Source organism: Homo sapiens, chromosome 2, assembly GCF_000001405.40.
Source record: "Homo sapiens chromosome 2, GRCh38.p14 Primary Assembly".
Classification (NCBI taxonomy): Eukaryota; Metazoa; Chordata; class Mammalia; order Primates; family Hominidae; genus Homo; species Homo sapiens.
In genome coordinates this window covers 37,007,025-37,022,121 of record NC_000002.12, presented here as the reverse complement: position 1 = coordinate 37,022,121, position 15,097 = coordinate 37,007,025, and the positions used below count along the sequence as shown (strand labels likewise).

At 39.4% G+C, this 15,097-nt stretch overlaps 1 protein-coding gene across 11 annotated transcripts in view; it reads left to right on the top strand.

Moving 5' to 3' along the window:
• Positions 1-15,097, top strand: part of HEATR5B (HEAT repeat containing 5B) — a 103,478-nt gene that overhangs the window by 62,251 nt on the left and 26,130 nt on the right. For 10 of the 11 annotated variants that reach the window (XM_047444812.1, XM_047444810.1, XM_006712035.5 and 7 more), the window contains 5 exons: positions 1,286-1,467; positions 2,245-2,313; positions 8,102-8,281; positions 13,274-13,511; positions 14,818-15,072. In XM_047444812.1, the coding sequence (XP_047300768.1) occupies positions 1,286-1,467; positions 2,245-2,313; positions 8,102-8,281; positions 13,274-13,511; positions 14,818-15,072 (924 nt within the window). Of the gene's footprint in view, positions 1-1,285; positions 1,468-2,244; positions 2,314-8,101; positions 8,282-13,273; positions 13,512-14,817; positions 15,073-15,097 lie in introns of those variants that run through there. The other variant, XM_047444815.1, reaches the window with a different exon arrangement.

Sequence of the window (15,097 nt, the reverse complement as noted above, 5' to 3'; positions counted from 1 at the left end):
ATTGATAGAGGTTTATTAGCCAAGGTTAAGGATTCACCTGGGAAAAAACACAGGTAACAGGAGCATCTGTGACCTGTGTTTTTTCCAAAGGGGGTTTTGGGAACTTCCTTATTTAAAGAAGAAAGAACAGCAGGAAGGAAAAAAAAAGGGAACGAAGGGTAAGCAGTGATCAGATGGTTATTATATTCCTATGAGGCTCTGATTAGCCTCAGTAAATTTTTTTTTTTTTTTTTTTGAAACAGGGTCTCACTTTGTCACCCAGGCTGGAGTGCAGTTGCGTGATCTCGGCTCACTGCAGCCTTGACCTCCCAGGTTCAAAGGATCCTCCTACCTCAGCCCCCTGAGTAGCTGGGACTACAGGTCCACGCCACCATGCCCAGCTAATTTTTGTATGTTTTGTAGAGATGGGGTTCACCATGTTTCCCAGACTGGTCTCAAACTCTTGAGCTCAAGCTATCCACCCACCTCAGCCTCCCAGAGTGCTAGGTTTACAGGCTGAGCCACTTCGCCCTGCCTAGCCTCAGTGAATCTACATTTTACATGTGAAAAGGGGGAATACAGGAAAAAGTCAGTTACGCATTGGCCACAGCATAGAGAGAGGGATGATTTCTCATCTTGTCATTGTCCTATACCTGTGAAAATAAGCTGGTAATTGACATTGTCAGGGTGAGATTCAACAGAACTTGGTTTTAGGGCTGGTTCTTAGTGGGGGATATGTATTCCGAAGATTCCTTGTGAGCAATTTGTGAGAGGAGGCCATTTAGGAAGATTTTTGGCCTTCTATCATTGTGGGAACCTGGCTTAAAATGAGGCAATGACACACAGTTGTGAAATTACAGCTACCTGGGAACAAAAGGCAGTATTGCAAGACTCAGTTCCCAAGCTTAACTTTCTCTTTGGCATAGTGAGTTTTGGGGTCCCAAGAGTCTGTTTTCTTTCATGAAGCCAAAAATATTAACTATCTGGTTCTTTACCAAAAAAGTCTGCCAAGCCTTTGTTCTTAAAGGATCAGAAACTCATTTTGGGAAAGTTACGTTAAAAGTATTTTGCATAACATATCATTGTAAGTCCTATAACATCATCAGCATTACTGTATTGTATATCACTATTCTTGAAAGATTGATATGGAAGTTGTCTTGAAAGAATATAATATCTTTGCTATTTTCAAAGTTGTGAAATATGTGGATTGTGTTTTTTATCAAAAATTTATTTCATTTCATATTTTTATGTTATTACACTTATTTTTGGAAAAGTTTTCATTTTTGCATTCTATTTTTATTTTTAGATGACCTCTTGGTACTTCATCTCTCTGACCTCATTCGCATGGCATTCATGGCTGCAACTGATCATAGCAACCAGCTGCGAATGGCTGGGCTCCAGGCGCTTGAAGACATTATCAAGAAGTTTGCGTCTGTGCCTGAGCCAGAATTTCCAGGTCATGTGATACTGGAGCAGTATCAGGCTAATGTGAGATTTTCTATTTATTTAAGAACTTAAAATTGATCTTTTGAAAGATTGCTGAAGAAGTGCAGACTTCCTGGAGGACTGCATTTGGAACTGCAATCTGTTTATTTCTGTAGAATGCATCTCTTTATCTCCATTGTCTGTTACCTAGTTTTAGTCACCCCACAAATGAAGAAATAAGTGTCAAGCTGTTGTCACTATTTTTAAGTTGTGATAACATATTAGTGATAAAACTAGAATAGAAATTCCAGCTCAGCTTTCCAGTCTTGTGTTTAGATATTTAGCTCTGCCCTTTAAGAGATAAAAGGAACCTTCAAAAGAGTGTTGTGGATTTGCTGCCGTTATTTTTATATGGCAAACCTTCATAAGCATTTTTAGAAATAGATAGCAGTTGCCCCTTGTATAATGAAGGATAAATTAACTCTTAATAACAACAGTTAAAGGTATTACTGAGGCCGGGCATGGTGGTTCACGCCTGTAATCCCAGCACTTTGGGAGGCCGAGGTGGGTGGATCATTTGAGGTCAGGCGTTCAAGACCAGCCAGGCCAACATGGTGAAACCCTGTCTCTACTAAAAATACAAAAATTAGCCTGGCAGTAGTGGTGCATGCCTATAATCCCAGCTACTTCGGAGGCTGAGGGAGGAGAATCGCTTGAGCCTACGAGGCAGAGGTTGCAATGAGCCGAGATCGCACCACTGCACTCCAGCCTGGGTGATAGAGTAAGACCGTGTCTCAAAAAATAAAAGTAAAAAATAAAATGCTTTATTTATTTTTCTAGGTGGGAGCTGCTCTAAGACCAGCCTTTTCACAAGATACACCATCAGATATAATAGCGAAAGCTTGCCAGGTAAGAAGAAAAATGGGACTTTGTATAGTTGTCTTCTATACATTCATAGATATCTTAGAATTTAACTTGTGTAAAGGAATAGAGAAAAATTTGGGAGACCAACATGGGAGGATCGCTTGAATTCAGGAGTTTGAGATCAGCCTGGCCAACATGGGGAAACCCCGTCTCTACAAAAAATACAAAAATTAGTTGGGCATGGTAACATACACCTGTAGTCCAGGCTACTCTGGAGGCTGAGGTTGGTGGATATCTTGAGCCTAGGAGGTCAAGGCTACAATGACCCAAGATTTCGCCACTGTACTCCAGCCTGGGCAACGGAGCGAGACCCTGTCTCAAAAAAAAAAAAAAGAGAGAGAGGAAAAACAAAATAATATTTTTATCTTGGAAATACAACAATGGCAGTTTTCCTTTTTATTCTTTGTGAAATGATGAAATAATAATTAGGTAATAAACATTGTGGTCAAAACATTGTTTTTGACCACACATTATGAAAATTTTGCTACTTTGTGGGTATTAAATCATACTAAGGAGAATTTCACAATATAGACATTTCATTGCAAAATTAATCCCAGGGAATTATTCTCACCTTGTTATATCTGCAGAGACTCACAAAACCACCAAAAAACGTACATTTTCTTTTTTTTTTTTGGAGACTGAGTCTCACTCTGTCACCCAGGCTGGAGCACAGTGGCATGCGATCTCTGCTCACTGTAACCTCCGCCTCCCGGGTTCAAGCAATTCTTCTGCCTCGGCCTCCTGAGTAGCTGGGATTAGGTGCCCGCCACCACGCCCAGCTAATTTGTGTGTTTTTAATAGAGACAGTGTTTCACCATGTTGGTCAGGCTGGTCTCAAACCCCTGATCTCGTGATTCACCTGCCTTGGCCTCCCAAAGTGCTGGTATTACAGGGATGTGCCACCACACCCTGCCCCAAAAAATGCATATTTTCTTATTCCTTTAATCAGTTTCTCTTTTTCATATGCTTCATTTTGAAAAAGGATTCATGTATTAAGCTCTAATCTTTTAGGTAATCAGTTTATTTGTCTCCTTACCTAAAGAGAGAAGATAAGCAACTCTCTTCTTCCTAGTTTTCTGGAGTACGGTGCTGTGGTCCATCATTTTTGCTTAGAATCCATGGCCAAGCTTCATGTGACCTCTATGCAGAGAAGATTCTGCAATAATAGGTTTAAAATTCTGACTTTATCCTCTCTGTAGCTGAATGCAAGTTTGCCCCTTCCTTCCATTTTTGAAATTGATATCTCTGAAGCCTGCTGCCTTAATGGCAGTCTTCAGAGAAATTAACTCTTTCCACGGACAGGAGACCAGAGAGAAAAGAAACGTTGTTGGTAAGAGATAGGTCTCTGGATCGTGATGCAAACCTTCGACTAGGTAATTTGGTTTGGGATACTGCCACACAAATATCAAAAAATTACTGTCCATATGTAAATAAGTGTATCATGATGACGTTTCAGAGCACAGCATTTAAGCAGACAAAATCTCCTACAATGCTCCTGATCATTAGAAAAGCAAAGGCTATTAGAATTGTATCTTGTATATGAATACTGAATTTGCCTTAAACTTATTTCTTTTGTGGCCCTAGTTGCATTTTTTTTTATAAGAAGTTTTTTTTTTTCTAGTGGCAGGCTTAAATTTGTGACCTCCTTTCCTTCTGTTGCTGGGAGGAAACCTGGTTTCCTGACAGGTAAAGCAGTAGGTTACAAGTTCCTTTCCTTTAAGGAAAGTAAGGAGTTGGCTTAATGATATCCCAGCCTGTTTGTTAGAACAAATGCCATGTTAAGAAACTTTAAAATCAGGGTAACTCTTAGATATTATAGGAAGGACCCTCAGATGTCACACAACTGGGTACAGTAATCAGTGGATCAATAAAAAATCATTTAAAGTAGGGTCAGATCATGAACATAATGCGTACTTAAATATTTTATTTCAGCATAAAATTTTAAAATGTACATTCATTCACCAATCTTTTGATGTAGGGCAAAGTCTTTTCTCTGAATATTATTTTACTAATTCAATGCTACTTTGTCATTCTTCATAAACAAAATCCATAATGCATTATCTGTGATTCTAGTTTCAGATTCTTTTTTTTTTTTTTTTTTTTTTTGAGACGGAATTTTGCTCTTGTTGCCCAGGCTGGAGTACAGTGGCATGAATCTTGGCTCACTGCACCCTCCACCTCCCAGGTTCAAGCGATTCTCCTGCCTCAGCCTCCTGAGTAGCTGGGATTACAGGTGTACGTCACCATGCCCAGCTAATTTTTTGTATTTTTAGTAGAGACGGGGTTGCATCATGTTGGCCAGGCTGGTCTCGAGCTCATGGCCTCAGGTGATCCAGCCACCTGGGCCTCCCAAAGTGCTGGGATTACAGGTGTGAGCCACCGCACCTGTCATTTTTTTTTTGAGACACAGTCTCCCTCTGTTGCCCAGGCTGTAGTGCAGTGGCATGATCTCAGCTCACTGCACCCTCCGCCTCCCGAGTTCAAGCAATCAAGCAATTCTCCTGCCTCAGCCTTCCAAGTATCTGGGATTACAGGTGTGTGCCACCACGCCCAGCTAATTTTTGTATTTTTGGTAGAGACGGGGTTTCACCGTGTTGGCCAAGATGGTCTTGAATGCCTGACCTCAGGTGAGCCACCGTGCCCGGCCTAGTTTCTGATTCTTTAATGTGAAGAAAATACTTAGGTTTTTACAAAGAAAGCTTAGTGCCAAATTCCTAATCTTTATAATTTTCCCCAATTTTTTAGTTATATTTCTACCAAATTTCACAGAAATATTTATCAAATCTTTCCCATATGTTCTTTAGTTTCCTTTGGGAGTAACAGCTCTTTCTTTTCATGTTCATATTTAATTTCTTTTCACTTTAAATTTAATTATTTTTCAGCAGTTTTGACTGGCATTTTAAGTTTTGCCATCAGTATCTCCTTAATTGGTAACAATCAGTTAAAAATGTCCTTATTAATTTTATTAAAATTAGTTTTGAATTCTTTGAGAATAAAATTTGACATAAATACTTATTCTCCACTTTTAAAACGTTTTCAATATAGGAACTCAAGTCCATTAGCCATGATTTGAAATCCAAATGCTGTGAAAATCAAAAGCTTTTTTAATCATTTATTTGGCAGCAAAACCTGAGCTGACTTGTACTAATTTGGCTCTGATGTGAAGCTAAGTGAGAATGTAGCATTAGTTAATCTTTCTTATTGTGATTTGTAATACATTTTGTTGCAGATACATCTGTGTGTTAATTATGGGGTGCTGCCACACATCTTGCTAGGTGTATACTTTAATGAGGTTCAGGTACCTTATTACCTTTTACCCAAAAGTTGTGAACTCTGAAAAAAATCTTGGTCCAAGGATTTCAGATGAGAAAGTAAGGACATGTGGCCGGGCGCGGTGGCTCGTGCCTGTAATGCCAGCACTTTGGGAGGCTGAGGCAGGCAGATCACGAGGTCAGGAGATCAAAACCATCCTGGCTAACGTGGTGAAACCCCGTCTCTACTAAAAATACAAAAATTAGCCGGGCCTGGTGTTAGGCGCCTGTAGTCCCAGCTACTTGTGAGGCTGAGGCAAGAGAATGGCATGAACCTGGGAGGCGGAGGTTGCAGTGAGCCAAAATCACGCCACTGCGCTCCAACCTGGGTGACAGAGTGAGACTCTGTCTCAAAAAAAAAAAAAAAAAGAAAGTAAGGACATGTAATTATTGTTGTTAAAGGTGACACTCTGAGACCACCCCTTCCTTCTTGAAACTCTTCCCTTGGCTCCATTGTCACTGCACTTGCCTGGTTTTTCTTTTGTTTTTCTGGTATTTTCTTTTCAATTTCTTTCTTTATTCTTATTCTACTTGTCCCTTAATTGTAACTATGTTCCATCTGGTCTGGCTTTAAGGCTTTATTTTTTTTGTTTAAAGCTGTCCTTGAAAAAAATTTAACAATACTTTAGTTATCACCTTTGTGTGGGAATTCCTAGGGTTATGTAATTACCCTTGAACTTGCTCCTGAAATCCAGACCCAAGTTTTTAATTGCCTGCTGAATATCTTTCCACAAGTCTCTTAGTGGCACTTTGAATGCAGCATGTAAAAATGTTCAAAATTAAAATCACGCTGTCTCACTTCTCATCTCCACTTACTTAGTTTCCTTTGTTTCCCCTATCATCCCCGTAAAGCAGTAGTATCACCTTCCTTCCATTCAAGTCAGAAGCTTCAACAATCAGCATTTAGAAATTTTTGATTCCTTGCTCTTTTTGTATCTCCCTTCACCCGCCCCCTAAAATAGCTAATTAGTTTCCATATCCTGGGATTTCTAACTACAAGTCTGTCTCAGATGCTTCTCCTTTTTTATTCCATTCCCAGTTTGATCCGTATCATCTCTGTTCTATGGTATTATAAAAGACACTTAACATATTACTTACTGTCTATATACATTTTTTCTTATACAGAAGTACTGGAACAGTTTTCCTAAAGCACAATTCTAATAATATGATCCCCCTGTCCAGAGGCCATGGAAACTCACAATTGCTTACAGAATGAAGTCTAAATTCATTTTCCATGGAATGTAAATTTTACCTTAATCTAATCCCAATTAACTTTCCTAATCACATCTCTTCCTCATGTAACTCTCCTATGTCTATACATACAAACCTCTTTGACACCTAAACATTCCCATTCCTCCTGCTAGAATTAATCTTTCCCTTGTCTGTTTTTAAGTGTCCCATATTACAGTCATAAAACATTCCCATGTGTTCATTCAATCTGTGTTTTCTTACTTGAGGGTAGGGACTAGATTTTTTTTTCCTATTCCTTTTTTTTTCTTTCTTTCTTTTGAGACAAAGTCTCGCCCTGTCGTGGCTGGAGTGCAGTGGTGCGATCTCGGCTCACTGCAACCTCTGGCTCCCTAGCGATTCTCCTGCCTCAGCCTCCCGAGCAGCTGGGATTACAGACACACGCCACCATGCCCACGCCCAGCTAATTTTTGTATTTTTAGTAGAGATGGGGTTTCACCATGTTGGTCAGGATGGTCTCAATCTCCTGACCTCGTGATCCGCCTGCCTTGGCCTCCCAAAGTGCTAGGATTACAGGTGTAAGCCACTGCGCCCAGCCTCTTTTTTTTTTTTTTTAAAGTCCCCTTTATAGCAGCAAGCATAACCCTTTTCCTGTGGTAAGCAGAAATTTTGTTGAAGAATTATTCAAGACTGAACTGCTTTGGGTGGAAAATTATTTCTGTTAACATTTTTGTTAAAGTACACGGTGGAAACATGTTAAGTAAATACTATTTTGTTTTCTACGTAGGAGTACAATAAAATCTATGCTTACCATTGATATAAAAAATAATACTGGCTGGGCACGGTGGCTCACACCTGTAATACCAGCACTTTGGGAGGCTGAGGCAGGCAGATCACGAGGTCAGGAGATCGAGACCATCCTGGCTAACACAGTGAAACCCCGTCTCTACTAAAAATACAAAAAAATTAGCCAAGTGTGGTGGCACGCGCCTGTAGTCCCAGCTACTTGGGAGGCTGAGGCAGGAGAATTTTTTGAACCCAGGAGGTGGAGCTTGCAGTGAGCCGAGATCACGCCACTCCGCTGCAGCCTGGGTGACAGAGCAAAACTCTGTCTCAAAATAATAATAATAATATCAAAGCATAGCATTGGGTAGTTTATTTTGTTTTGTTCTTTGGTTTTGTGTTTTATCTTCTAGGAAAAAAGTCATTTATTCCATTTTCTTATACAGCATTAATTTTTTTTACACAAAAGTTTTTGAATTCTCTTTGTCTAGGTATGTAGTACATGGATAGGAAGTGGAGTTGTCAGTGATCTCAATGATCTCCGTCGAGTACACAATCTTCTTGTTTCTTCTCTGGACAAAGTTCAGGCTGGAAAAGGATCTTCCAGCCAGCTGTACCGAGAGAGTGCCACGACCATGGAAAAACTGGCTGTTCTCAAAGCTTGGGCAGAGGTAACGACTAAACCACAATCTATTGTTTTTGACCCATTTCTTCATCCATGAGAAAATGTTCCTCTACTCTTGTTGGTAAAAAAATTTTTGTTTTTTAAAAACTAACCCTTGATATGGAATACTTTTTGAAAATTTGTTAATCAGTGTACTGAAAACCTCTATATTGAGGAAGGGCTCTCCTACATAATATGAGGAAATTAGGTAGGAAAAACTCAAAAATATAACAGAAAATATTTTATGCCAAAAATCTTTTATTTGATTAAATTTCAGGTGACTTGCCACCTTGATATTGAGGCCATAGGGGTTTTGTTTCTTTTTTTTAAAGGTAGGGTCTTGCTTTGTTGCCCAGCCTGGACTTGAACTTCTGGGCCCAAACAGTCCTCCTGCCGCAGCCATCCGCGTAGCTGGGACTGCAGGCACGCACCACAGTGCCCAGCTTGTTTTGTTTTTTAATAGCTAGTTTTACCTTTTTCATTCTCACAGTCACTTTAAAAAATATATAATTACATTGTTTTAAATTCATTTTTCTAAATTCCTTCTGCCAGTTACTATTGAATTCTTATCATCTGCCCTCCAGTATTGAAGTAACTAATTCCTTCCTCTACCAGCTCAGTATCTCACTTCCCTATTTTCGTGGTATTCAGCAACAGGTAACTGAAACCATAGAAAGTGAAACCACGTTTAAGGGAAGACTATTGGAGTTATAATTATTTTAAGCTTTTCCGCTAATCTAAGACTAAACTTTTCTCATTCCCTTACTTCCCACCCTCTGATTCATTCAACAAAGTGTTGTTTAGCTTCAGCTCTGTCAGGTTAGCAGTTGAGAATACGGGGGTGAGATATATTACGTTTGCTGAGCAAGACAAACTGGTAAACAAGTAGATGTACCAAAGGGTAAGGAGCATTATCACAGGAGAAATACAAAGTTACAAAGTGTTTTGGAACACATAGCAGAGGCAGTTACAATAGGCTGGAGGCTCAGAAGTAGCCTTTTTGGAGAAAGTGATGTTTACATTGAAACATGGAGGATAGGAGGAGGTATCAGTTAGGCATGAGAGTGAGGAGGAGACTGTGTGAAGCTCAGTGCTGTCTACTCTTCTTCTTTGTGTCTTCAGCACCTTCCTCTGTACATCCTCTAAAACTGCGCCCTAGGCCAGGCGTGGTGGCTCACACCTGTAATCCCAGCACTTTGGGAGGCCGAGGCAGGCGGATCACCTGAGGTCAGGAGTTCGAGACCAGCCTGGCCAATATGGTGAAACACTGTCTCTGCTAAAAATACAAAATTACCCTGGCATGGTGGTGCATGCCTGTAATCCCAGCTACTTGGGAGGCTGAGGCAGGAGAATCACTTGAACCCGGGAGGCAGAGATTGCAGTGAGCCAAGATCACGCCATTGCACTGCAGCCTGGGCAACAAGAGCGAGACTCTTGTCTCAAAAAAAAAAAATTTAATTAATTAAAAAACTGCACACATTATTTTCAGGAATATTTAAGGATATGCACAAAGGTTCTGCTACAAGGGTATTTGTTATGGTGTTATTATTCACAAAAAAGTGGAAATAACCTAAATGTATTTCTTGATCTTGAAAGATGATGATATTAAGTGACTAGAAAATTGGGGTAGAAATTATACACACACGCACGCACACATTAGGTAAAAAACTGAGCGTGTTTATATAACTGTTTAGACTGGTAACAGCATTGTATCTGAGTAGTAGCATTATGTGTAGTTTTAATTTTCTTCATTTTGCTTATGCTTCTGATTGTCCTTTTTTGTGTAATATCTATAAGAAAAATAAGCCTAAAAATTTATTTTAAAATAGGTCTGAAAGATATATTCTCATATATTGCAGGTAGCAATATAAAATATAGAACCTTTTTAGAAAGCATTTGGCAGTGTCTATTCAGAGTCATAAAAATATTTGTAAACACTGACCCAGTGATTCCATTTCTGGGCCTGTAGTCTAGTGAAAAATATCCAAAATATGGAAAAGAGGTAAGTTTACAAAAATGTTTACTTGCAACACTATTTATAATGTGAAGAAATGAATATCTTTTGTCTTCGAAAGCTGTATTTCATCTTTCTAGGATTCCCAATGCTAAGTAAAGAATTAGAAGTAAATATAAAATTTCAACTGTAGGAAAACTGGTAGATACATTGTGGGTCATCCACTGTAAGTCATTAAAATAATGGTTATGAAAACTGGTATTCACATGGGAAAACCCTATGACATGTTTATCAGTAAAACTAAATACAGAATCTCTGTACATCAAAATTATAACTTACAAAGATAGAATATGAAAACCCAGAAATTGAGGTTATGAGTCATTTTTAACTCTTATTTTTCCAACTTTTTATAGCATAATTATTAAAATAAAATTATAAGTCGAGGAAAAATGCATACATAGACCGTAAAGTCTTACAGTGACACCCTTGCTTCCCCATTGCCTGCAGAGTAAAAACTTCAGCTACTTCCAGCTTATAACCTGTGCTCCGTCTATATGAGAAATTTGCATACTTAGATTACCATGCAGTTTCCTGTTTTTGTGCTCTTGCTCTGGCTGTTCCCTCTGCCTGTAAGCTCCCTTTCCATCTCTGCCTATGAGCAAGTCAACTTTTGTCCTTAAAAACGGTCTCACCTTTCTCACACTCCCAAGGCTAAGATTCGTTTATCTGTGATGTTCCCTGAGATTCATTCACTCATTGCATAAACTGCCGAGTGTTCATTAGGTACCAGACACTGTCTGTGCACTGGGTAGAGTGTACTAGAAGATAAAGCATTAAAAAGATTATCTTTGTAGAAGATAAATAATTAAAGCCAAATCTTTAAAAGTTTCTTCTCTTAAGCACCTTTTTACTTCCCTCTCATTGTAATATTAGCCTGTGAATTCATGGAAAGCAAAAACTATGTATTATTTGTTTTTTTTTTTTGCTTCCAGTCCTAGAACAATAACAAATTCAAGGCAAAAGGTGCCTACCTAGTAAGGATTTGATGAATGAATGGCTGGATATACTTAAGAGTGCTTATTGTGACATTTTCTTAAAAATGTTAGTGGCTGGGCACTTGGGGAGGCTGAGAAGGATGGATCACCTGCGGTCAGGAGTTTGAGACCAGCCTGGCCAACGTGGAGAAACCCTGTCTCTACTAAAAATACAAAAATTAGTCAGGCTTGCTGGTGTGTGCCTGTAATCCCAGCTACCCTGGACCCTGAGACAGGAGAATCACTTGAACCCGGGAGGTGGAGATTGCAGTGAGCTGTGATCGCACCACTGCACTCCAGCCTGGGTTACAGATCGAGACTCCCATCTCAAAAAAAAAAACAGTGTAATAACAAATTTAGGGGGGAAACAAGCATGTACTCACTAGAAGATATGACAGTAATATATTCATAACTTGAGATCCAAAGTCCCTATTTTAGAATTTAGTCAATTGCTGTATATTTTCTCTGTGCTGTAAGTCTGCTTGGTGTGGGAATAGGGGTAAGACACAGTGCTTCTCATCAAGAAGCTTGCAGTGTACCTATACAGATACCATACTTAGGCTTTCTCGTTAGGTACAATGGATGTAACACTGTGGAGGGAAGACAGTTTTCTCGAGATTTTTATCTAGAGCAATTCTTTTCTTGCTTGCTGTCATTCCTTTCTTTTTTTGTTTTCTCATTAATACGTTATTCAGCTTTGTATGTGCCAGTAGCCAAAGCCTAAATGTATTACAAAACAAAGGAAAATAAATATGATTCAATAAAGAAGAATCTTTGAAATTATATTTTAGGAAAGTTGCTTTTATGTCTTTTTGGCTCACAAACTAGAGAGAAAGGATACAGGTAATGTATGTGACTAGCAGATTATATTAGCCAGGCTATCTGTTGTAAATGCTAGATTGCAAAATATCATTTAAGGTCTGTGTAAGAAGGAGTTTAGAAGGATATTTATGGAAATCCTTTCTGATGTCTCTTTTTGCCTCTCAGCTGCTTACTTTGAATGCCTGGTTGTCTAATAAGTCTAGGAAGGTGGAGGCAGAAACAGAGTTATACCCTGTGGCAAAAAAAAAAAAAAAAAAGTGGAGGCGGGGGGTGCTTTGTAAAGTAGAATGAGGGAAGCCAGAAAAAACTCTGAGAAGGCTACTCAAGGAACATGCCATCAGAGGAATAGTCAGAAGTCAGATCAGTTTTTTTAGAAAAATGTCTCCAAGGCAAATGGAATTATTCTTTTGTGTTTATCAGGAAATCATGGAGTTGTATATACTTTTTTTTTTCTTTTTTTGAGACAGGATCTCAAATCTGGTGCCCAGGCTGGAATGCAGTGGCACGATCATAGCTCACTGGAACCTTGAACTCCTGGGCTTAAGCGATCCTTCTGCCTTAGCCTCCCAAGTAGCTGGGGCTACAGGCATGTGCCACCATGCCTGGCTAGCATTTTTGTTATTTTTTGTAGAGATAGGGTCTTGCTATATTACCCAGGCTGGTCTTGACCTCCTGGCTTCAAGTGATTCCCAGCTTCTCAAAGTGCTGGGATTACAGGCATGAGCCACTGCACCTGATCAAAGTATATACTTTCTTCTTTTTTTTTTTTTTTTTTTTTTTTGAGACAGAGTCTCACTTTGTCACCAGGCTGGAGTGCAGCAGCGCGATCTCGGCTCACTGCAACCTCCGCCTCCCTGGTTCAAGCGATTCCCCTGCCTCAGCCTCTGGAGTAGCTAGGACTACAGGTGCCTGCCACCATGCCCGGCTAATTTTTGTATTTTTCGTAGAGACAGGGTTTCACTATGTTGGCCAGGATGGTCTCAATCTCTTGACCTCATGATCTACCCGCCTTGGCCTCCCAAAGTCCTGGGATTACAGGTGTGAGCCACCGCACCCAGCCAAAGTGTATACTTTCTAATATCTATACCCAGTTATCTTTGATGATTTAACTGTATTTTTATAATAACGTAAAATATCTTATTTTTTTATCTTATGCCTTACTATTTTGTCCTCATAAATATCATATTAGGTATATGTGGTCGCTATGAATATTAAAAAGGAAGCAGAGTCAAAACCAAAAAGAGCAATTAAAAATACTGACGATGATGATGACGACTGTGGTACCATCGATGAACTGCCACCAGATAGTTTAATAACACTGGTACAACCTGAACTACCAACACTCAGTCGCCTGTGGTTAGCAGCATTAAAAGATTATGCACTCTTGACTTTACCAGCCGAATTTTCTAGTCAGCTTCCTCCAGATGGTGAGTATTACATTCTGAGTTTTACTTTTATGGAGTTCAAAGTAGTAGTTAAACAAAATAGAGACGGTATAGACTAGCAACAACAGTTGCTATAGTAACAGTTTAAATTTCTGTGGCTTAAGTTTGATGTTGTCTCAGTTAGAATATGTACTCTATATTGAATTTGTAGATAGAAGATATAGAGCTTTTTTGTTGGCTGAAGCAAACATATTAGCAAGCACTGTTACAATAATAGCTGTATGAGCTAGGGTATTCTAAATAGCTATGGGTAACAAGTCATTATGCATAACCATAGATGTATATTGCTGTACTGTTCAATGTTTGTATTTTCATATTCTATTTCAGATTCCTAGTGTGCCAATAAATTATGTTCCTAAAGTGCTTTGCAAATTGTACTTTAGTTTTCTTATCAAAATCAGTGTAGAAATCGTCAACATTTTTTTCTGTTTAGAAAGTGTGTTATTAGTTCCTACTTGAAGAACCCATTCTCCTTCCTATATATTAATGATAAGAATAATGGAGTTCCCCCGCCCCCTTTTTTCCTTCCTTAATCCATCATAACAGCAAGGAGTGATGAGGAAGTCCTCAGTGTTAGTAGAGGAAACAACAGGAGGTGGAGAGGAATAGCAGAAGAAGAAAGAAACAGAGGGAAGAAACAGAGTTCCCTGGTTGTGATAGAAAGAGAAGATGATAGGGTTTTAGGAGCCACTGGCAACAATGAAGAGGTAAATTCTGTGACAACAGGGTAAGAAAAGGTAAGAATACTTAGTGACATCAGCAGTAGCAGAGGAAAGGCTGGAAAACTAGCATCAGTGAGGAAGAGACAGGTATTCCAGTTCATCAGCTACAGAAAAGGGGTTACTTTTGGTGGCTTTATAAAGAGGAGAAGCCCTTTGGCTAGATTTCTCTTTTGTATGTAACAGGTATTTTTGTTAGTGGTTCATAAATGAGCGAACATGTATAATAGTAATATTTTGGCCGGGTGCAGTGGCACATGCCTGTAATCCCAGCACTTTGGGAGGCTGAGGCGGGTGGATTGAGAGTTTGAGACCAGCCTGGCCAGCATGGTGAAACCCCATTTCTACTAAAAATACAAAAAATTAGCTGGGCATTGCGGCGCATGTCTGTAGTCCCAGCTTCTGAGGAGGCTGAGGCAGGAGAATTGCTTGAACCCAGCAGGAGGAGGTTGCAGTGAGCCAAGATCGCACCATTGCACTCCAGCCTGGGCGACAGAACGAGACTTGGTCTCAAAAAAAAAAAAAAAAAAAAAAAAGTAATGTTTTTAATTGATTTGATTGCTTTACAGGTGGAGCATTTTATACCCCTGAAACTATTGATACAGCTAGACTTCACTATCGGAATTCCTGGGCCCCAATTCTCCATGCGGTGGCACTTTGGTTAAATAGCACAGGATTTACGTGCTCAGAGTCTACAGAAGCAGCAGCAATATCTGGTTTACAAAAACGTTCTACATCTGTCAATTTAAACCAGGCATCAGGAGCAGTGGGTAGTGCTAAATCTTTGCCAGAAATTAACAAAGACAGAATGCATCTGATTTTAGGTAGGTCTGTCATATTAATATATTT